The sequence below is a fragment of the Homo sapiens genome, chromosome 17, assembly GCF_000001405.40.
Source record: "Homo sapiens chromosome 17, GRCh38.p14 Primary Assembly".
Lineage (NCBI taxonomy): Eukaryota > Metazoa > Chordata > Mammalia > Primates > Hominidae > Homo > Homo sapiens.
Window position 1 is genome coordinate 59,791,091 of NC_000017.11, and position 23,554 is coordinate 59,814,644.

A 23,554-nucleotide genomic window follows, 5' to 3' on the forward strand; every position below is an offset into this window, starting at 1 on the left:
TACTCATTTTTCATATTTCTAAAATCATGGGCCTGTTTAGCAATGCATTTTGCTGACATTTTTAATAAACAATTTAAGACTGCTCCCAGTTCCCTTTTTTTTTTTTTTTTTTTTTAAGATGGAGTCCCGCTCTTGTTGCCCAGGCTGGAGTGCAATGGCACAATCTCGGCTGACTGCAAGCTCCACCTCCCAGGTTCAAACGATTCTCCTGCCTCAGCCTCCAGAGTAGCTGGGATTACAGGTGCCTGCCACCGCGCTCAGCTAATTTTTTTATATTTTTAGTAGAGACGGGGTTTTAGTATGTTGGCCAGGCTGGTCTTGAACTCCTGACCTCAGGCGATCCACCCACCTCAGCCTCCCAAAGTGCTGGGATTATAGGCGTGAGCCACCGTGCCCGGCTCTTTTTTTTTTTTTTTTTTGAGACAGAGTCTCACTCTGTCACCCAAGCTGGAGTGCTCACTCCTCTGCCTCCCTGGTTCAAGTGATTCTCCTGCCTCAGCCTCCCTAGTAACTGGGATTACAGGCCACCACGCCCGGCTAATTTTGTATTTTTAGTAGAGACAGGGTTTCACCATGTTGGCCAGGCTGGTCTTGAACTCCCGACCTCAAATGATCTGCCCACCTTGGCCTCCCAAAATGCTGGGATTACAGGCATGAGCCACCATGCCTGGCCCCATTGTTTTATATTTAAATAAATTTTCCCCAAACATTTTATCTTGCCGTTGTCTGTATTGAAGATGACCTGCCACTTGCTTGCTGAAGTGTGCAAAATCTTTCAGTTTACTGTCATGAATTTAGCATCTCCTAGTTTAGATATAATTTCAACTGTAGATTTGGAACTTAAACTCTGCATTTCTTTTTCCAGGGCCATTTATAAATTTGTTAAGATTGGTTCTATTGGCCGGGTGCCATGGCTCATGCTTGTAATCCCAGCATTTTGGGATACTGAGGTAGGAGGATCACTTGAGCCAAGGAGTTCAAGGCCAACCTAGGAAACATAGTGAAACCCCATCTCTAAAAACAAAAAAGTTAAAAAATTAATCATACATGGTGGCATGCAACTGTAGTCCCAGTTACTTGGAAGGCTGAGGCAGGAGGATTGCTTGAGCCCGAGAGGTCATGATTGTAATGAACTATGATGGCACCACTGCACTCCAGCTAGACGGCAGAGCAAAAGTCTGTCTCAAAATCAAAAAAAGATTGGTTCTACCTCAGAAAAGAATGTCACTGTTGACATTTCCCATAATAGAGAAGTTCCCATTTATCTTTTTCCTTTGTTTTCAGTCTCTTAAGTTTCCTGTCTCTGACAGTTTTGTGAATTCCATACAGACTTAGTTTTCATAGCTTTGCTTGCTTAAGTCAAGTTACCTCACTATTTTGACTTTTTTCTTTTTTTCTTCACAGACTAGTATTATTGTTATGTTTTATACATAGCAGATTGTCATCTACTGATTTTTTTTATTTCAGTTTGATCTAAATAATTATCAGATGAGGCTGGGCACGGTGGCTCATGCCTGTAATCCTAGCACTTTGGGAGGCCGAGGCGGGCGGATCACCTGAGGTCAAGAGTTCGAGACCAGCCTGACCAACATGGAGGTCTGTACTAAAAATACAAAATTAGCCGGGCACATGCCTGTAATCCCAGCTACTCAGGAGGCTGAGGCAGGAGAATCGCTTGAACCCAGGAGGCGGAGGTTGCAGTGAGCCGAGATCACGCCATTGCACTCCAGCCTGGGCAACATGAGCAAAAACGCCATCTCAAAAAATAATAATAATAATAATAATAATTATTATTATTATTATCAGATGAGTGGCTGGGCATGGTGGCTTATGCCTGTAATTCCAGCACTTTGGGAGGCTGAGGTGGAAGGATCACTTGGAGCCCAGGAGTTCAAGACCAGTCTGGGCCAAATAGTAACACCTCCATCTCTTTTTTTTTTGAGGCGAGTTTTGCTCTTGTTGCCCAGACTGGAGTGCAATGGCACAATCTTGGCTTACCACAACCTCTGCCTCCCGAGTTCAAGCAATTCTCCTGCCTCGGCCTTCCAACGTGCTAGGATTACAGGCATGTGCCACCACACCCAGCTAATTTTCTAATTTTTTTTTTAGTAGAGATGGGGTTTCTCCATGTTGGCCAGGCTGGTCTTGAACTCCCGACCTCAGTTGATCTACCTGCCTCAGCCTCCCAAAGTGCTGGGATTGTAGGCGTGAGCCACCATGCCCAGCCTCTATTAATTTTTTTAAAAAGAATTTTCAAAAATTGTCATATGAGGAGTTACTGGCTTCAGACAGGAAAAAGAAAAAGGAAATTACTTGTGTAATATATCCGTTTACTTATTTCTATGCAGTAATAAATCTTGCATACTCAGATATTTTCCCTGAGTGTCTAGAGCACTTGTCCTTCTTGGGCTACAGAGTCCGTTCTTATTTCTAGTAGGAGTTAGGCAGGCACCCACCTGAGTTTGAGTGGATGCCAGCTGCCTAAGAATTACCATGTTTGTGCGTGTGTGCACGCGTGCGCATGTGTGTGTGTGTTTATTTATTTATTTTTTTTGAGATGGAGTCTTGCTCTGTCGCCCAGGCTGAAGTGCAGTGGCGTGATATTGTCTCACTGCGGCCTCCACCTCCCGAGTTCAAGCAATTCTCCTGCCTCAGCCTCCTGAGTAGCTGAAATTACAGGCGAGCACCACCATGCCCGTTTAATTTTTGTGTTTTTAGTAGAGACAGGGTTTCACCTTGTTAGTCAGGCTGGTCTCAAACTCCTGACCTCGTGATCCGCCTGCCTCGGCCTCTCAAAGTGCTGGGATTACAGGCGTGAGCCACCGCATTTGCCCTTTTTTTGTTTTTCAAGACAGAGTCTTGCTCTGTTGCCCAGGCTGGAGTGCAGTGGCACAATCTCGGTTCACTGCAAGCTCCGCCTCCCAGGTTCATGCCATTCTCCTGCCCCAGCCTCCCGAGTAGCTGGGACTACAAGCACCTGCCACCACGCCTGGCTAATTTTTTGTATTTTTAGTAGAGACAGGGTTTCACCGTGTTAGCCAGGATGGTCTCAATCTCCTGACCTTGTGATCTGCCTGCCTCAGCCTCCCAAAGTGCTGGGATTACAGGTGTGAGTCACCGCACCCGGCCTTTTTTTTTTTTTTTTTTTTTGAGACAGAGTCTCACTCTGTTGCCCAGGCTTTAGTGCAGTGGCAAGATCTCAGCTCACTGCAACCTCTGCCTCCCGGGTTCAAGCAGTTCTGCCTTAGCCTCGTGAGTAGCTGGGATTACAAGCGCACGCCACCACGCCTGGCTAATTTTTGTATTTTTAGTAGAGACGGGGTTTCACCATGTTGGTCAGGCTGGTCTTGAACTCCTAACCTCATGATCTGCCCGCCTCGGCCTCCCAAAGTGCTGGGATTACAGGTGTGAGCCCCCGCGCCCTGCATTTTTTTTTTTTTTTTTTTTTTTTTTTTTTTTTTAACGAAAATCTAAGTAGGGAGAGAGACAGAGGGAAAGGAAGCTGCAGATACTGGCCAATCTTAATGCTGGTAACTGGGCTGGAATAAGAAAAGGAGGGCGAGAGAGCACTGTATGTTTGTGTGAACTTCTAAGAATAATTTACTTACTTTATATCTGAACATGGTAATAAATACTGGAGTCAGCCCCCGAGAAAGCCTCCTGAAACCGTATTTCTTCCATCTCATCTTTCTTCCTAGACTATACAAGAAATGTTTTATGTCTAGTAGGTTGTTTGTGAGTTTTAAGATTAGTAATCATAGTGAAATAATCATTACAGGTGTAAATAACTGAACAATTTCCTCCTAAAGAACAAGCATTCAGGAGAAGTAATAGCACCCATTTCTACCTTCTTGTGTTGAAGGATTTGGTAAACTAATCGTTGGCACTAAAAGGCAGATTTGATCTTTTTTTTTTTTTTTTTTTGAGACGGAGTTTCGCCCTTGTCGCTCAAGCTGGAATGTAATGGCGTGATCTTGGCTCACCACAACCTTCTCCTGCCTCAGTCTCCCAAGTAGCTGCGATTACAGGCATGCGCCACCACGCCCAGCTAATTTCGTATTTTTAGTAGAGACGGGGTTTCTCCATGTTGGTCCGGCTGGTCTGGAACTCCCGACCTCAGGTGATCTGCCCACCTCAGCCTCCCAAAGTGCTGGGATTACAGGCATGTGCCACCATGCTCGGCTGAGTTTTGTATTTTTAGTAGAGATGGGGTATGGGGTTTCACCGTGTTGGTCAGGCTGGTCTCGAACTCCTGACTTCAAGTGATCCATCCGCCTCAGCCTCCCAAAGTGCTGGGATTACAGGCGTGAACCACTGTGCCTGGCCGATAATTTTTTGATTTTTGATATATTTTCCTTCTTTCTCTCCCTTCCATTTTACAGCCCCCTTACATCTTTGATATGAACATGTTTCTTTTGTTTTTTAAAATTAAAAACAATGGTCGGGCATGGTGGCTCATGCCTGTAATCCTAGCACTTTGGGAGGCCTCCCAAAGGATCAGCTGAGCTCAGGAGTTCAAGACCAGCCTGGGCAACATGGTGAAATCCTCTCTCTACCATTTAAAAATTATAAAAATAAAAAATAATAATAAAATTTAAAACAAAACAAAAATCTCTTATTTTCGTTGTAAGATTGCAGTAGTAATTGTGCTTATCATAAGGTCTGATTGAGTAGATAAAATAAATCAGGCAAGATATTTTACTTCATTGGGTATCAGGTGTTTTTTGTCTCTTGACATTTACTAAGCAGTATAACTTCAATTTAAACAATTTTGTCTCATACTCAGTTTTGTTTATGGTGGTAGACATTATTATCATCATTTTACAGAAAAGATGAACAAACTGCGATTCAGAGAACCTAAAAGATTTAGTGTTATCAATGCTGTGTCATTTTAATATCATTAAAAACCATAGAATTGCTGGTGTTTGTATTGTTTCTCTCTATAGCACTTTTTATCTTTCTTGTTTTTGCTCTCTCTTGCTTTGTAGGTTTCATCCATCCTTCTTTCATCTTCCCTTTTACTTACTGCACCCTCTGCTTCCATACACATACCCTAAATTAGGTATCTCCCAAGGGAAAAAACTCGCCAGAACTCTCTTCTCATAGATTGTCAGCATGACCTACTCTCTCACCTCCTTGAGAATTTTGATGTTTTGGATCACCTTTTCTCTGAAGCCTTTCCTGACTGTCCTATTTAGTTTTCATCTCCTCCCACTAGAATATAAACTCCATGAGGTTCCAGATTGTTATCAGTGTGATTTAGCGTTGTGTTCTCAACTTCTACAATATTTGGCATGTAGTAAACACTTTTTAAACATATACGGAATGAATGTATGAACGAATCACTATGTTCTCATCTTTGGATTCTTTATTACCTTGCACATAGTAGTTATCAGGTTTATTCAGTTAAATGTAATTGCTTTTAAATAAGAATTCTGATTTCTGAAAAAGGTTTCAATTTTGTCTTCCCAAATTGAGTGTGCACAAAAAGTACATTTTTTTCTAAGCAATTATCTCTGTTTTCCTAAGGAAATTGGAAGTAACTTTCAAAATGTTATAAGTTGTTTTTCTAAAACTTAGCATTTAAAATATTTAAAGCTATTCATTCCTCGTTTTCTTGCTTTAACTTACTCAATCCTCATGCTAATTCTGACAAACACATTCTTTAGAACCATCTGTACAAAAGGAAAATCATTTAGATTTTTTTCAATTGACAGTTATTATCAGTTGGCAAAATGGAAGCAATATTAAGAATAATTTGATTGACAGTCACTTTTGGAAACTGGCACTGTCTACTACAGTTAAACATACACATACTGTATGATCCAGCAATTCCATTTGTAAATCTATACTCACCAGAAGGATATGCCAGAAGACATGTACAAGAATGTTCATAGCAGCATTATTTATAGTAACTCAAAATTTCCTTCCTGTAGGAGATAGCTTAAAAAGGAAAAATAAGGCCTGGCACTGTTGCTCAAGCCTGTAATCCTACCACTTTGGGAGAGCAAGGCAGGCGGGTCACAAGGTCAGGAGTTCCAGACCAGCCTGGCCAGCATGGTGAAACCCCCCCCCCGTCTCTACTAAAAATACAAAAATTAGCCAGGCATTGTGGCACACGCCTGTAGTCCGAGCTACTGGGGAGGCTGAGGCAGGAGAATTGATTGAACCCGGGAGCAGAGGTTGCAGTGAGCCGAGATCACGCCATGCCACTGCACTCCAGCCTGGCGACATAGCAAGACTCTGTCTCAAAAAAAAAAAAAAAAGAAAAAGAAAAAGACTTTTTAAATAATAGTTCAAAAGCGGAAGCAACCCTAATGTCCACCAACAATAGAATAAATTGTGATATACCTATACAATGGAATAATATGTAGCATCTGCAACAAATTGATTACTGCTACATGCAACAGCATGGATGAATCACCTGGACATAATATAATGTTAAGCCAAAGAAGCCAGACATAAAAGAGGACATACTGTATAATTCCATTTATATAAAGTTCAGGCCAGGCACAGTGGCTCACGCCTGTAATCCCAGCACTTTGAGAGGCCAAGGCAGGCAGATCACCTGAGGTCAGGAGTTTGAGACCAGCCTGACCAATGTGGTGAAACCCTGTCGTTACTAAAAACATACAAAAATTAGCTGGGTGTGGTGGCATGGGCCTGTAGTCCCAGCTATTCAGGAGGCTGAGGCAGGAGAATCACTTGAACCCGGGAGTAGGAGGTTGCAGTGAGCTAAGATCGCACCATTGCAGCCTGGGCAACAAGAGCAAAACACCATCTCAAAAAAGTAAAATAAACTATGATAAAATAAATTTTTAAAACGAAGTTCAAAAATAGGAAAAGCTAAATCTGTGGTAATGGAAGCCAATGTTAGTGGTTATTTTGCAGGGAGTAATTACTAGGAGTGCCACCAGCAGGGTTTCTGGAGTTCCGGTAATGTTCTGTATCTGGATCTCAGTAGTGGTTACATGGGTGTGTTGTAAATTTCCATTAAGAGGTATATTTTAGATTTGTATGCTTTACTGTATACGTTATGCCTTAGTTTAAAAAACTACTCATACTGTTTTCTCCTGCAACCTGCCCATGTAAATTTGGTAACGGAAATACATCTATACATCGAGAAATCCACTTAATCCTGATCTTGACCCAGAAATAGTTGATAGCTCCCTATTTTTGGCACAACACTCTGAAATGTGTGGTGTTCACAGTGGATTATGTATTTCCTGTGTGTATACATGAAAAAAATTTGTGTTGATCAGTTCTCACGTAACTTTTGAAAAGTGTAATTTGGATAAAGCATCATGAGACCTACTACAGTCACAGCTGCCTCTAGATCAATGACTTTTTTACTTCTTTTTTTAAACTGTAGCCAACAATACAAAATACATTGTACTTAGCAACCCAGAGCCAATTTGTGTGTAACTAGAATAAATGTTTCGTGAAATAGTATTTACTTCCATTGCTTGTGAGGTCTCACCATTTTATTCTGTTCATTAAAACACAAGATGTAAGGCCGGGCACGGTGGCTCACGCCTGTAATCCCAGCACTCTGGGAGGCCAAGGCAGGCGGATCACCTGAGGTCGGGAGTTCCAGACCAGCCTGACCAACATGGAGAAACCCCGTCTCCACTAAAAATACAAAATTAGCCAGGTGTGGTGGCGCATGCCTGTAATCCCAGCTACTCGGGAGGCTGAGGCAGGAGAATTGCTTGAACCCAGGAGGCAGAGGTTGCAGTGAGCCGAGATTGTGCCATTACACTCCAGCCTGAGCAACAAGAGCGAAACTCCGTCTCAAAAGAAAAAAATAAAAAGAAAAAGCAAGATGTAATTTGTTACCAACTAAATTTTCACACCGCATTTTAATTTAATGAAACTGCCCTAGATAATATAAATATGAGTATAAACAGAAACCCAAACTGAATTTTGTTTTCAGATTTCTAGTTACATCTAGTTTTTGAGTACTTAATAAATTTAGCTAGTTGCCAAAATAAATGTTTCTTACTGTTTCAGAGAATAGTCAGATCCTTCTTTGCTTCTGGTAGTTTTTAGTTATGCCTGCATTGATTTTGATAGATATGAGAACTTATGTTTATATTGCATGTTTTACATATAATCTCTTCTTAAAACTTCTAAATCTCTAAGTTACTTTCAGAATAAAATATCCTTGCTTTTATGAAATGTGTTCATGTGATGTATTCTGCTTGCAGTATTATAGAGTTTTACCCTAATTTCTAATATATATAGAAATACCAGTGACCATCTCTGATTTTACAGTTGGCTTTATCTAACCGTGTAAGCCATCAGCTGGATGTTAAAACGTTTCATTTTCAGGAATAGTTACACAACTCAGTTCTCATCACTTTTTGTTCTTAAATGGGTTTGCATTTTGTTATCCAACATCTTATAGCTAGTAATTTAAAATTTATTAACTATTTTCTTTGTTTTACAATCACTTTATTTCAACAATATCCCTACTTTTTTGGTAATTCTAGAATTTATTTCCTAACCACAGTCTTTATCCCGTGACCTTATTATGTTATAATTCAATAACAATAAATAATGTGTGACTTAAAAATATGCTTCACTTGGCCGGGCGCAGTGGCTCACGCCTGAAATCCCAGCATTTTGGGAGGCCAAGGCGGGAGGATCACCTGAGGTCAGGAGTTTGAGACCAGCCTGGCCAACATGGTAAAACCCCATCTCTACTAAAGATACAAAAATTAGCCAGGTGTGGTGGCAGGCCCCTGTAGTCCCAGCTACTCGGGAGGCTGAGGCAGGAGAATCACTTGAACCCGGGAGGCGGAGGTTACAGTGAGCTGAGATCCTGGGGGATAAGAGTGAGACTTCCTCTCAAAAAAAAAAAAAAAAAGGCTTATTTAAAGAGGACCTACTCAAATATGCAAAATTAAAATATAAGCAATTACTTTAGTGATATTGTTGAGGAAGTCAACAGTAAGAATATTTTGTTCACTTTGAATTCAATTAATGCTCTATATTTTTAAAATAACTCAAAGAGCCCTGATAATGGGTAGAAAATAGTTATTAAGGCACTTTTTACTTTGTGTTCAAGAAAGATTTGAAGTTATAACTGCATTACAGAAAGTTTTACATTGCAGTTTCTATAAAGATAATAGTTAATTGTATAATGTATTTCATTTTAGAAAATATTTAATGATACGTTATTAGGGTCTTAATAACAAGTTATTGTTTCAGACTCATTGTCTACTATGCTGAAAAAACTTAAATTATTAAGTCATCATGACAAGTCATTCCATTTCTGCTTAATAGAGTTTTCATTGCTTGGCGTGCATATTTGACTAGCACGCAGAAACCAGCAAGTAATTTTTAGGTGGCACAAGAGCTTCACAAATAGACTATATTTTAACATAAATTTCCATTACACATGAGGAATCAGTATTGAAACAGTTGCTCTGAGGCTTTTAATATTGGCTGTGAAATCACTTCAGCTCCAAATCCAAAAGAAAGCATTATTAGCTCAGTAGTTTTAATATATACAGTCATATGCCACATAACAGCCTTTCAGCCAGTGATGAACTGCATGTCTGACAGTTCATAATGGGGCTGAAAAATTCCCATCACCTAGTGACATGGTAATGTAGCACAACACATTACTCACATGTTTGTGGCGATGCTGGTGTAAACAAACCTATTACGCTGCCAGTCATATAAAACTATAGCACATACAGGCTGTGCGCAGTGGCTCATGCCTGTAGTCCCAGCACGTTAGGAGCCTGAGGTGGGCAGATCACGAGGTCAGGAGTTCGAGACCAGCCTGGCCAGCATGGTGAAACCCCATCTTAACTAAAAATACAAAAATTATCTGGGCCTGGTAGCGCGTGCCTGTAATCCCAGCTACTCAGGAGGGTGAGGCAGGAGAATTGCTTGAATCCAGGAGGCAGAGGTTACAGTGAGCCAAGATCGTGCCATTGCACCCCATCCTGGGCGACAGAGCAAGACTCCATCTCGAAAAAAAAAAAATATATATATATATATATATATGTGTGTGTGTGTGTGTGTGTGTGTGTGTGTGTGTGTATGGCACATACAGTTATATATAGTACATAATACTTGATAGTAAATGAAATGTGTCATTGGTTTATATATTTACTATACTATAGTTTTATCTTTTGTGTGTGTGTATGTTGAAGGGGGAGATCATCTTGCTCTGTTGCCCAGGCTGGAGTGCAGGGGTGTGATCACCGCCCACTGTAGCCTCAACTTCCTGGGCTCTGGCAATCCTCCTGCCTCAGTATCCCGAGTAACTGGGAACACAGACTTGCATCACCACACCCAGCTAATTGTTTTTTTTTTTAATTAGTTATAGAGACTTGGTCTCCTTATGTTACCCAGGCTGCTCTGGAAGTCCTAGGCTCGAGTGATCCTCCCATCTCGGCTTCCCAAATTGTTGGGATTATAGGCATGAGCCACTGTGCCTGGCCCAAAATATCTTATATACCATATTGTATTTGTACCTTTTTTATATTTAAAAACATATTTAGGCCGGATGAGGTGGCTCATGCCTATAATCCCAGCACTTTAGGAGGCCGAGGCAGCCGGATCACCTGAGGTTAGGAGTTCAAGACCAGCCTGGCTAATGTGGTGAAACCCCATCTCTACTACAAATACAAAAATTAGCCAGATGTGGTGGCAGGTGCCTGTAATCCCAGTTCAGGCAGGAGAATTGCTTGAACCTAGGAGGCAGAGGTTGCAGTGAGCCAAGATTGCGTCTTTGCACTCTAGCCTGGGTAACAGGAGCTAAACTCCATCTCAAAAACAAAACAAAACAAAACAAAAAACATATTTAGGCCAGGTGTAGTGACTCACGCCTGTAATCCCAGCACTTTGGGAGGCCAAGGTGGGCAGATCACTTGAGGTCAGGAGTTCGAGACCAGTCTGGCCAACATCGCGAAACCCCATCTCTACTAAAAATACAAAAATTAGCTGGGCATGGTGGCACGCACCTGTAGTCCTAGGTACTCTGGAGTTTGAGGTGTGAGAATCGCTTGAACCCAGGAGGTGGAGGTTGCATTGAGCCAAGTCACGCCACTGCACTCCAGCCTGGGCGACAGAGCGAGACCCTGTCTCAAAATAAAATAAATAAAACAAAATAAAATAAAAACATGTTTAGATACACATATACTTACATTGTGTTACAATTGCCTACAGCATTTAGTACAGTAACAGGTTGTGTAGGTTTGTAGCCTAGGAGTGGTAGCTATACTAGATAGCCTAAGTGTGTAGTAGGCTATATAACATCTAGGTTTGTATAAATACACTGCATGATGTTCACACGACAATGAAATCGCCTAACAACTCATTTCTCAGAATATATGCCAGTTGTTAAGCCACACATGACTGGAATGGGTTATAAAGGCAGGTAATTTAAACTTCCATAACATATTAACCAAGTATACATTTATCTTCGGTAACATTGCATTGGTTTTACATGTTTAGGGATTTTCTGTTGCTTTTATTTCATTTTTTTATGTCGCCCAGGCTGTAGTGCAGTGGCACGATCTCTGCTCACTGCAACCTCCGCCTCCCGGGTTCAAGCGATTCTCTTGCCTAGGCCTCCTGAGTAGCTAGGATTACAGGCGCCAGCCACCACGCCTAGCTAATTTTCTGGGTTTGCTTTGTTTGTTTGGTTTTGAGAAAGAGTTTAGCTCTTGTTGCCCAGGCTGGAGTGCAATGGCACGATCTCGGCTCACCACAACCTCTGCCTGCCGTGTTCAAGCAATTCTCCCACCTCAGCCTCCCAAGTAGCTGGGATTACAGGCATGCGCCACCATGCCCGGCTAATTTTGTATTTTTAGTAGAGATGACGTTTCTTCATGTTGGTCAGCCTGGTCTGGAACTCCTGACCTCTGGTGATCCACCCGCCTTGGCCTCCAAAGTGCTGGGATTACAGGCATGAGCCACCGCATATGGCCTTCTGTTGCTTTTAAAGAGATCTTTTCATATGGCTTCCTCGTGAAAATGAAAATGTTTACTGTTACTGTTTGAAGATAAAAGTTACTTCGTATATTTACATTCATGTTGACATCATTAGATTCAAAGATCAATATTTTGCAGACTGTTATTAGCCTTGTAGTTTCTCTTCTCTCTCAATCATAAATATCTTTCTTAAGAAAAAGAAATGTGAAGCAACAATGGTACAGGCATATTCATAGTTTAAGGCTTTGTCTTTCTGTATTTAATCTTGAAATTCAGTGATAAGGAATTGCTGTGACTTTTTTTTATTAGTCTTGTAGTGCTTGGGAAAATGTTTCTTGCGTCTCCTGTTTCAGAAGCGTGATTGGTTTACATATATAATCACTATGGGTTGTGGTAGGAAAGGTAATTTATTTACCTATAATTGGTTTTATTTTTGTGAAAAAAGAAAAGTAGAAAATGATTTGTAATTGCTAATTGTAAATGCATGCTTCATATTTAAGTAGACTTAGAGAATGAAACTATCATCTCAGGCACTTAAGTTGTGAAATAGGTAAAAGTTGTGAAATGTAAATACAGAGAAATGGAACTAATAAAAGGTGTTTGTTTTTAGTTTATGGATTTTTGAAAAAGTGAAAAATGACATGTGAGGAAGTAATCAAATTGGTCATGCTACATTGTTCCCCACAATACTCCAAAACTATTCAAATGAAATATTAATTTTTTTAACTTTTAATGGGAACATTGAATACCTAACATACAATTTGTTTGTAATCTTTTATTTAGTTTTTCTTAAAAATATTGTTTATTATTGGTGTGTATTTGTACTCAGCTTTTTTATTTTACTTGGACTAAAAAGAACAGCAAAATTTGTTTAAAATTTTTTTTAATTTTATAAAAGGGATTTTTTTTGTTTTGGTTTAGCTTTTTGGTGGTGTTAGGTGTGTGAGTAATAGAGTCAAGTTTATTAACAATATACGTAGAATAAAATTCTCATTATAAAGGCAAATGAGAATATATATATTTTAGTTCATAAACAATATTATTCTAAAATCACAATAAGAGCCGCCAAATTATACAAATAATTAAAAAATATACTGAAGTTGTTTTTAGAAAAACAAAGAACTTTTAAAACTACAGAGCAACAAGGAAAGCAAAATTGCACGTAACATATAGAACATTTTGAACAATAAAAGAATAATGTTTTCAATAAAATTATTACATAAAGCTGTTAAAACTATATAACTAAGTTTTATACATGTGGCTTTGAAAGTAAAATAAATTTGGGCCTGGCGCACCGGCTCAAGCCAGTAATCCCAGCACTTTGGGAGGCTGAGGCGGGTGGATCGCCTAAGCTCAGGAGTTTGACACCAGCCTGGGCAACACGGTGAAACTCTATCTCTACTAAAAATACAAAAAATCATCCGGGCGTTGCGGTGTGTGCCTGTAGTCCCAGCTACTCAGGAGGCTGAGGCAGGAGAATCACTTGAACCCGGGAGGCAGATGTTGCAGTGAGCCAAGATCGCACCACTTCACTCACTGCAGCCTGGGCGACAGTGAGACTCCAGCTAAAAAAAAAAAAAAAAAAAAAAGTGAAATAAATTTAAAATAAGAAACAATAAAATATGTTCGTGTTTATCAAATCTAAACATTAAACTTTAGTTATTTTACTATTTTAAAATACCAATGCAGTGCTTTCCTGGTTTTGTTTTCATTACACTGGCAAGGAAAAAAATCAAGAAAATACTGTCCATCAAACTGCATATTATGCTAATGTTTATTTTCTTGAAATAAAAACAACTGTGCAGACTTCATATTAATATAATTTCAGTAAATGTTTGTAGATTATTTGATATATAATGTAATTTAAATTCTGAGAATATTGTGAAAGACCTGGAAAAAATTATGGGAACTGAAAGTAGCATGGTCACTGTGTATGTTAAATACATAATAAAATTTGTGAAATCCTTTTTCAGTAGATGACTTTCACTCTTTTTAAAAAGTAAAGCTCTCCATTAAAAAGGCACTTTACTTGTTTTCCTTATAATACATGCCAGCTTCAAATTTAAAAATTAAAAAAGGTAAAAGGAGGTTTCAGCTTCACGTGTTCGGATAGATTAACTCTTTGTGCTCAAAAAAAAGATTGTTGAAGCTCCCTTAAGGATAACTAATGAGGAGCACCCAGGCATCTGAAAGAACGAGAAGTCTGTTTTTCGTTCTTGCCTAATTGCCGTTAAGCAAAGATACTCTTCCCTAAAAGGGAAAAATGGCTCCTTACGTGTTATTCCTCTTTGTTAGTAATGATCACTGTGTTTTGACCTCTTTTCAGGATGTTTTTTAAACCATGTTTTCTGGTTCTTCTGTAGTCTTAAGTATGTTTGATATTGTTAGGTGATCTGCATAATGTTTAATCATTTTTTTCTTTATATAAACCAGTTGGTATAATTATACCTCTTTTCCTATTTAAGTTTGTATGTGTATATGTGATTCTATAGAGTAGAAAAATGCCATCAGTTTGAAATGATGGCACAATCTTAGTCACTTGGTTTAAATAAATAGAAAATTCTAAAGCCTTAAAATTAAGATAATGCTCTTTGGCAAACTCAAAATAAAAGCAAAAAAAAAAAAAGGAAATTAATATAAAAGAAAGCAGGACACCAGACCTTCTAAATACAATACTTGTTGATCTTGTCTATACCATTTAATGTAGAAAAACTAATTTTCTATAATTGTGTCTATTAAAGGTGACATTAATGCTGATAGAAAAATATTCCCACATATATCTGACTTGGAAAACTTATAAAAATTGTGCTGTCTTTAAAATAAAATTTGTATGCTTTTTTTGTTGTTTACTTTACCTTTTCTTGGCAATTGAATACAATCTTCCCTCTCTTAAAAGTGGATTTGCTATGAAAATTTTAAGGGCTGTAAAGGAAGGCATTTTCCTGATTTTATATATTTAATTCTTGTGCTATAGTAATTAAAATTTCATAACTAGTTTTTAATTTAATAGTATCTGTTGATACTTTAGACAATTAAAACATTTTTTACCAGTTTTTATTTAGTGCTTCAAATGGATTATAAACTTAGTAATTTGGGGACTAATTGTATAAATTGTTAAAAATAAATGGATTTTGCAGAAGGATAGGATTAGTGAAAAGGAGCAGTAAATAATAAAATGTAATAGAAATAGAAATGTAATTTGTTTTTAAAATAAGCTATATAGGAAAACTGATTGATTATATATTCTTATATGGTTTTAAATCAATAAAACTCAGTATTTCACATTTAATGCAATAGATGCTAAGAAAAAAATTAACCTTCAGCTAGAAATCTAAATAAAAATAGAAAATACCCTTTGCTGCAGTAGTTCAGTTGTTTAAAAATATTAAATCTGAGGCCTGGGGTGGTGGCTCAATGCCTGTAATCCTAGCACTTTGGGAGGCCGAGGTGGGAGGTCAGGAGTTCGAGACCAGCCTGACAATATGATGAAACCCCCTCTCTATTAAAAATACAAAAATTAGCCAGGCATGATGGCGGGCGCCTGTAATCCCAGCTGCTCAGGAGGCTGAGACAAGAGAATCGCTTGAACCCGGGAGGCAGAGTTTGCAGTGAGCCAAGATCATACCATTGCACTCCAACCTAGGCAACAAGAGTGAAAGTTTGTCTCAAAAAAAAAAAAAAAAATTAAATCTGATATAACTGATTTAGTGAAAAAGTAAGTCTAATCCCAAAAAGAAAAATTAATAATTATCTCTTTGGAAATAAATTATAAAATTGCTAAATTTTGTTGTAGAGTTTAGCTAATGATTAACTTTGAGAGCCTATGTATTTGGACTTGAAAGTGTTTATATTGACTGATCATATTTTTTTTTAATATAGTTTATTGGTTTGGTTTCTTTGACTTTCTCATCATCTTCAACAAGTAGAGTTAGGTTTTTTGTTTCTTTGCTTTAATTTCAGTATTAACTACTGTGGTAATTTGGTAGGTCTATTCTACACAATATTATTTGTCAAAATGTTTTTGTAAGTGGGGATACACAGATTCTGTGCCAATTAGAGAACTATATTTTTCAACTAGTTTGCTTTTCTGGCTTTAAACTTTGTTTCTCCTCTCTATGATAGATCTGTCCAGCTTCTTTTTTGTTTTTTTGTTTTTTTTTTTTTTTGAGACGGAGTCTCGCTCTTGTTGCCCAGGCTGGAGTGCAGTGGTGCGATTTCAGCTCACTGCAAACTCTGCCTCCCGGGTTTGCACCATTCTCCTGCCTCAGCCTCCCGAGTAGCTGGGACTACAGGCGCCTGCCAGCACGCCCGGCTAATTTTTTGTATTTTTAGTAGATACAAGGTTTCACCGTGTTAGTCAGAATGGTCTCGATCTCCTGACCTTGTGATCCGCCTGCCTCAGCCTCCCAAAGTGCTGGGATTACAGGCCTGAGCCACCGCGCCCGGCCGGATCTGTCCACCTTCTATATTCTCTTTATTGTCTTTTAGAAAGTTGAACTAAAGGCCGGGTGTAGTGGCTCATGCCTGTAATCTTGGCACTTTGGGAGGCCGAGGCGAGCTGATCACCTGAGGTCAGGAGTTCAAGACCAGCTTGACCAACATGGTGAAACCTCGTCTCTACTAAAAATACAAAATTAGCTGGGCGTGGTGGCAGGTGCCTATGATCCCAGCTACTGGGAAGGCTGAGGCGAGAGAATCACTTGAACCCAGGAGGCGGAGGTTCCAGTGAGCCAAGATCGCGCCATTGCACTCCAGCCTGGGCAACAAGAGTGAAACTCCGTCTCAAAAAAAAAAAAAAAAAAAGAAAGTTGGACTAAAGAGAGTGGAAGAGGTTCTATGATATGAAGACTTATTAATAAAGCATTTACACACATTCAAAAAATAAAGCATTTACACATTAGCTCATTTTTTGTCTTATGAACTATTTTCATTGGAATTTGGATTTGAATATATGCCATTTCAAAACCAGAAAATAATTAAAGTCAAATATTTGTAGCATCAACATGCCGAAAGAACTAGCCAGCCGAATGCATGTTTCAGCATGGGAGGAGGTAACAGAGTGAAGTAAAAAGCACTGATTTCACAGTCTGAATATTGAATCATGTCCTATCTTTGTCCCTAACTGACATTATGATCTTGATCACTTACCCTTTCTGGGCTGCAGTTTTGTGGTCTATAGATTGGTTATAATAATATCCACTATACCTACATACCAGAATCGAAGGCTCAAATAAAATCATGGTGAGAATGTTTTACAAAACTAGCACAAGCTGTGCAAATGTAGGATGTTCTTTTGCTTCTGGGATAATGAATGCTTACTTATTGCCACATAACTGTTTTTTCCATCTTCTGGCTAGTGATCGGCAGAGATGTATTCATGAAGTCTGGCAAATTATAGAAGAAAGGAAAAGGTAGATGTTGTAGGCCAGTGTTTCCAAAATAATAAATTGGTTCATGGTTAGTTTACAGTATTTTGTTAATCCCTAGAATATCCAGAGAGAATACTAAATTTAAATTTACAGTGTTTTGGTTTATTCTTAAAATGTGGTAAGAGCTTAACTTTAAGGATGTAATAGTCTATCATTATTTTACTTGTGTTTCAGTGAACAACCTACTGTAATTTTTTTCATCATTCATCTTATTAATCAGTGTCATCAGATTGGGAGATCTTTAATAAACTCTAGAAAGAACCATCTTTCCTTCTTTTCCTACTTCTCATTAATGTTTCTAAATTTGCCTTTTTACAGGACTTTGCCTCCCGGGCCAAACTGGCAGTTCAAAAACTAGTACAGAAAGTTGGATTTTTTGGAATTTTGGCCTGTGCTTCAGTAAGTGAATTGTATTAAAACAGAACTTTTACTAAGTGGTAGTGTTATATTTTGATCCATATATACTCCTGAATTAACAAAAGTGCTATCACTTTTATTGGGTATGTAATTTTGTGAATCATTCACCTTTTTTTTTTTTTAAGACGGAGTCTCCCTCTTGTCACCCAGGCTGGAGTGCAGTGGCATGATCTCGGCTCACTGCAACCTCCATCTCCTGGGCTCAAGCAATTCTCCTGTCTCAGCCTCCCTAGTAGCTGGGACTACAGGCATGCACCCCCACGCCTGGCTAATTTTTATATTTTTAGTAGAGGCAGGATCTCATGTTGCCCAGGCTAGTCTCAAACTCCTGGGCCCAAGTGATCCACCTGCCTCGGCCTCCCAAAGTGCTGGGATTACAGGCATGAGCCACTACACCTGGCCCATTCAACTTTTTTTTTTTTTTTTTTTTTTTTTTTTGAGACAAGAGTTTCACTTTTGTGGCCCAGGCTGGAGTGCAATGGCACAATCTCGGCTCACTGCAACCTCCACCTCCCGGGTTCAAACGATTCTCCTGCCTCAGCCTCCCAAAGTAGCTGGGATTTCAGGCGACTGCCACCACACCCAGCTAATTTTTTTTTTTTTTTTTTTTTTTTTTTTTTTTTTTTTTTTGAGACGGAGTCTCGCTCTGTCGCCCAGGCGGTAGTGCAGTGGCGGGATCTCGGCTCACTGCAAGCTCCGCCTCCCGGGTTCACGCCATTCTCCTGCCTCAGCCTCCCAAGTAGCTGGGACTACAGGCGCCCGCCACTACGCCCGGCTAATTTTTTGTATTTTTAGTAGAGACGGGGTTTCACCGTTTTAGCCGGGATGGTCTCGATCTCCTGACCTCGTGATCCGCCCGCCTCGGCCTCCCAAAGTACTGGGATTACAGGTGTGAGCTACTGCACCCAGCCCAATTCAACTTATTAAATGAGCTGTTTTCTGTTGAATAGGTTCACATCTTGTTTATTGGCTTTTAAGTATTTCATCATGTAGTGATGACTTCAGACCTAAATGGCTTAAATCAGTAAGAATAAAAGAGACAAAATCCATTCTTCCAATGAAGAATATACTACATTTAACCAAATTAAACTACATTTAACCAAATAAGGATGACTTCATTCTTTCCTCAAATTTATAGATAAGAAGTCTTTTTCCAAAGTTTCAAGTATTAGTTACAAGGAAGAATTTATATAAAACCTGTTTAAAGCGATGTTAGCTCAGGGCTACTCTGATTTACGTATCTTAAATCCTTTTTTTGTGTTTGTTTTTCTTTTTTTGAGACAGAGTCTCCCTCTGTCACCCAGGCTGGAGTGCAGTGGCGAGATCTTGGCTCACGGCAACCTCCACCTCCCAGGTTCAAGCGATTCTCCTGCCTCAGGCTACCCAGTAGCTGGGATTACAATCATGCACCACTACACCCAGCTAATTTTTGTATTTTTAGTAGAGACAAGGTTTCACCATGTTGGCCAGGCTGGTCTCGAACTCCTGACCTCAAGTGATCTACCCACCTCGGCCTCCCAAAGTGCTGGGATTATAGGCATAAGACACTGCGCCCAGCCTACATATCTTAAATACTTTAAATTCATTTTCATTTCAACATGAGTTGGAACCTTATGATAAAGGAAAAAAAAGTTATAACTCATAGAATTATGAGAGTCACATGAGCAAATATAACAAATAGCAGGTGTGATGCTGTGTAAATGATATTATTATATGGTTGTAAGAGATGAAATAATCCTAAAGCATTTGAATTTGGATGAGAAAAACAAAAATGAGTCATTGAATCCAAGTGTTACTAACAAAGGAATACTTGAATTCTAATTTAGTCATGTCTTTTTTAAAGATCATATGTGACAAGTATTTTTTAAATAACTAGGCTTTTCTTTCAAAGTTCAAAAATGAAATTATATAAATTAATTGGCTTATTAATGGTTCAGCCAACAGCCACAAGGTCAGAGTACTTTCATAGGAGAAGAAGGGATGAAGTGCTCAAAAACAGCTTGTGGCTTCTTTGCATTTTTACATGAAATGTCTTTTAGCATTCTTAAAATGTGGGAATGTTTGGGAAAGGTATTTGTTGTGAATTACTTCTTTGTCTGGGACTGAGTATTCAAAACATCTGAATCTGTGTGATCTCATATTTCCACACTTGATCTTCTTTATAAATTGTGTCACATAGCCCTCAGACTTGGTCTCTCGTAAAATAAAATACAAATTATTAATATTTTATGTTGAGAATAACAGCACATCCACCCATAAATGTATTTGAGAATTTATTAAAATATTTGCTAATGATATGAGTGCTTTCCAGATAATATTCACATTTCAAGCTAAAGATTTTAGAACCCTAACTGCTGAAACAATCTTAAGGCTCTTTCTTCACTCATACCTCACCTTAGAAAACAGCCACCAAATATCCAGGAATCAACTGAACGGGATTAAATTCCTGCAGGTCCACTTACTTTATCCAGTTCTCATGTGATGGGCACACACACAAACACACACACAGTGCCTTAGCCATGAGTAATATAAGCAAAAGGACACCTTGGTTTGCTGTGAGCAGATTGAACACCTAAGGTGAATATGAGACCCAGCTTCTAGACACATTAGGATGTTTGCCTAACCTCCTTTTGAACAATCCAGTAGTGATCAAGGAACCCATATATTGCTTTGCAGTGTAAGCAGGCTGAAAGCAGAATACCACATATCAATGGGTGATAAAATTAAATTGTTCTTTGGATTATAATATGGAAGTCCTTCTTTTTCTCTCTATAGATTCCAAATCCTTTATTTGATCTGGCTGGAATAACGTGTGGACACTTTCTGGTACCTTTTTGGACCTTCTTTGGTGCAACCCTAATTGGAAAAGCAATAATAAAAATGCATATCCAGGTAATTATACCCCCTGATTCACTGCCTAATGATGATGAACCCATTACAAGACAATGAAACATGCTCATTCCTAAGTGAATTATTTAGTTATTCTTTCTGCTTTTTTGGTTGGTAGCTTACTTAGGTAATACCACATAGAATGTCATTTGGAATTAGTGATCTCCTTGTTTTCTTTCTTTTCTTCTTTCTTCCTCCCTCCTTCCCTTTCTTCCTTCTTTCCTTCCTTTCTCTCTTTCTTTCTTTATTTTTTGTCCTGTTTAACTATTTATCCAGGACTTTCACCAAACAAAAATAGTGTTTGTGTGCAGAAAGATGCACATCATTTTTATATACACAGCCCAAAAAATGTAGTTTTTTGTTTGTTTTGTTTTGTTTTACCAACCACAAGCTGAGAGAATATTGCCATTCACTAATTCTTACTTTCTTTCACATACTCTATATATATAGAGTGTGTAAAGCAGTTCCTCCCATGTTACCAATATCCTTTACCGAAAAACAGCCAGATGTTAGTGTGGGAGGAGAATGGGGAAGAAGAGGGTCTCTGAAGAGGCGAGGAGATGTGGGTTGTGGTCAGAGAAGTGAGAATCTGCTAGTCCTCAAAGCCACTCTTAACAAAATCTTTAGGATGGAGGGTGTGTGCATGTGTATGTGTGTGTGCACACATATATGAATAGAGAGGAGAGAAAAGGTTAACAATTTAAACGAAGGGAAAATGGATATGTGCTTCTAGAACTGTGATATGAATTACTTCCTTCTAAGGGCAGATCTCAATAGAATAAAATAAAAATTAACCTGGAAAGAATTTGTTTTATATCAGTATGGTTTGTAACAAAGAACGTTATTAACCAAAAGAAAGGAAAGAACAACCAAGCGTGGTGGCTCACGCCTGTAATCCCAGCACTTTGGGAGGCTGAAGTGGGCAGATCATGAGGTCAGGAGATCGAGACCATCCTGGCCAACATGGTGAAACCCTGTCTCTACTGAAAACGCAAAAATTAGCTGGGCGTGGTGGCGCACGCTTGTAATCCCAGCTACTTGGGAGGCTGACGCAGGAGAGTCTCTTGAACCTGGGAGGTGGAGGTTGCAGTGAGCCAAGATCACGCCACTGCACTCCAGCCTGGCAACAGAGCAAGACTCTGTCTCAAAAAAAGAAAGGAAAGAACAGTGAAGTTCTCTGCCCTTGTATGATTCCATGATAATTACAAGTGTGTCTATCCCCAAAGTTTCTATGTTAATACCTCTCTACTTCCAGTTCTTAGAAGGGAAGAATGAAACAGGAAAACTTCGGCTGCTTCTACTTATCCAGTTTATAATCTTAGATTTTGGCATTTGGGTCAAGTTTATTGCGTCTGTCCTCTATTTTCCTGCCATAATCACTCAGAATTTCATGATGTTTTTCCTACTTCAAAGAATATATTTCCTCCCATTTAAATTAAGTATTTTGTTCAATCAACGAACACAGGTTTTTTAATATTACAGTGCTAGTTACTATGGTTAAGATTTAATACTGGCCAGATGCGGTGGCTCACACCTGTAATCCCAGCACTTTGGGAGGCCGAGGCGGGTGGATCACCTGAGGTCGGAAGTTCCAGACCAGCCTGACCAACATGGAGAAACCCTGTCTCTACTAAAAATACAAAATTAGCCGAGCGTGGTGGCGCATGCCTGTAATCCCAGCTACTCAGGAGCCTGAGGCAGGAGAATCACTTGAACCTGAGAGGTGGAGGTTGCGGTGAGCCGAGATCGTGCCATTGCACTCCAGCCTGGGCAACAAGAGTTTGTCTCAAAAAAAAAAAAAAAGATTTAATACCATACAGGATTTTTTCAAATAATAAAATATGGTGAATAATAAATTATTTTCAATGTATCTGAAAATAGGTTTTTCTTTAATCTTTAGAGTTGTTTCTAGAAGAGAGCTGTCATTTAGCTTCTTGCAGTCCTTAATACCTAAGGAAAAATAACAGATTATTTTATTTCATAACAAGAACTTCTCTAGTAATCCATAAGTTTTATGTGTCCTGCTTTATACCTCTTGAATGCAGTGCCTTTCTATAAATTATAGTAAAACGTATTATGCCATAAGTACCCTATCTGTAGTGGTAAGATATGCAACTTATCAGACCTTTCATTTCAGAAAGATTTAAAACTAGTATATATTTAAACATACTCAGATTTTTTCAATTTATGATGATTGATTGATTGATTGATTTTTGAGATGGAGTCTCTCTCTGTCACCCAGGCTAGAGTGTGGTGGCGTGATTTCAGCTCACTGCAACCTCCGCCTCCCAGGTTCAAACGATTCTTTTGTTTCAGCCTCCAGAGTAAGTGGGACTACAGGCGCATGCCACCACACCCAGCTAATTCTGTATTTTTAGTAGAGATAGGGTTCACCATATTGGCCAGGCTGGTCTCGAACTCCTGACCTCATGATCTGCCCGCCTTGGCCTCCCAAAGTGCTGGGATTACAGGCATGATCCACTGCGCCTGGCCGATGAGTGATTTTTTTATGGAACTTCACACTTTAAAGCACTTATCTATATGATTTAATTCTTATAATCCTGGGATAGAGGAATTACTATACCCATTTTGTAATTCTCAGAGGTAGGGAGGTTAATAAGTAATAGTTGCTTAAGAGAGTAAGTAACAGCTGGAATTTGAACCCAAGTCTTTTGACTTCAAGTTCAGTGTTCTTTCCATTCTTTTGCATTGCCTTCTTAACTTTAATGTATTGATATGATTAAGGAAACTGAATTGTTTAATGCCTGCTATTGATCAGGACCTGTGCAAGGTAATTTGCAGTAGTTATCTCATGGCAGACAATCTTGAGAGGTTGTTATTAACCACATTTCATAGATGAG

The 23,554-nt window shown here is 39.0% G+C and overlaps 1 protein-coding gene across 10 annotated transcripts in view; it reads left to right on the forward strand.

The window, feature by feature from the left end:
* The window catches only part of VMP1 (vacuole membrane protein 1), a 134,602-nt gene that overhangs the window by 83,437 nt on the left and 27,611 nt on the right, over nucleotides 1–23,554 (forward strand). For all 10 annotated transcript variants that reach the window (NM_001329394.2, NM_001329395.2, NM_030938.5 and 7 more), the window contains 2 exons: nucleotides 17,706–17,786; nucleotides 20,580–20,696. In NM_001329394.2, coding sequence (NP_001316323.1) covers nucleotides 17,706–17,786; nucleotides 20,580–20,696 — 198 coding nt within the window. The remainder of the gene's footprint in view (nucleotides 1–17,705; nucleotides 17,787–20,579; nucleotides 20,697–23,554) is intronic.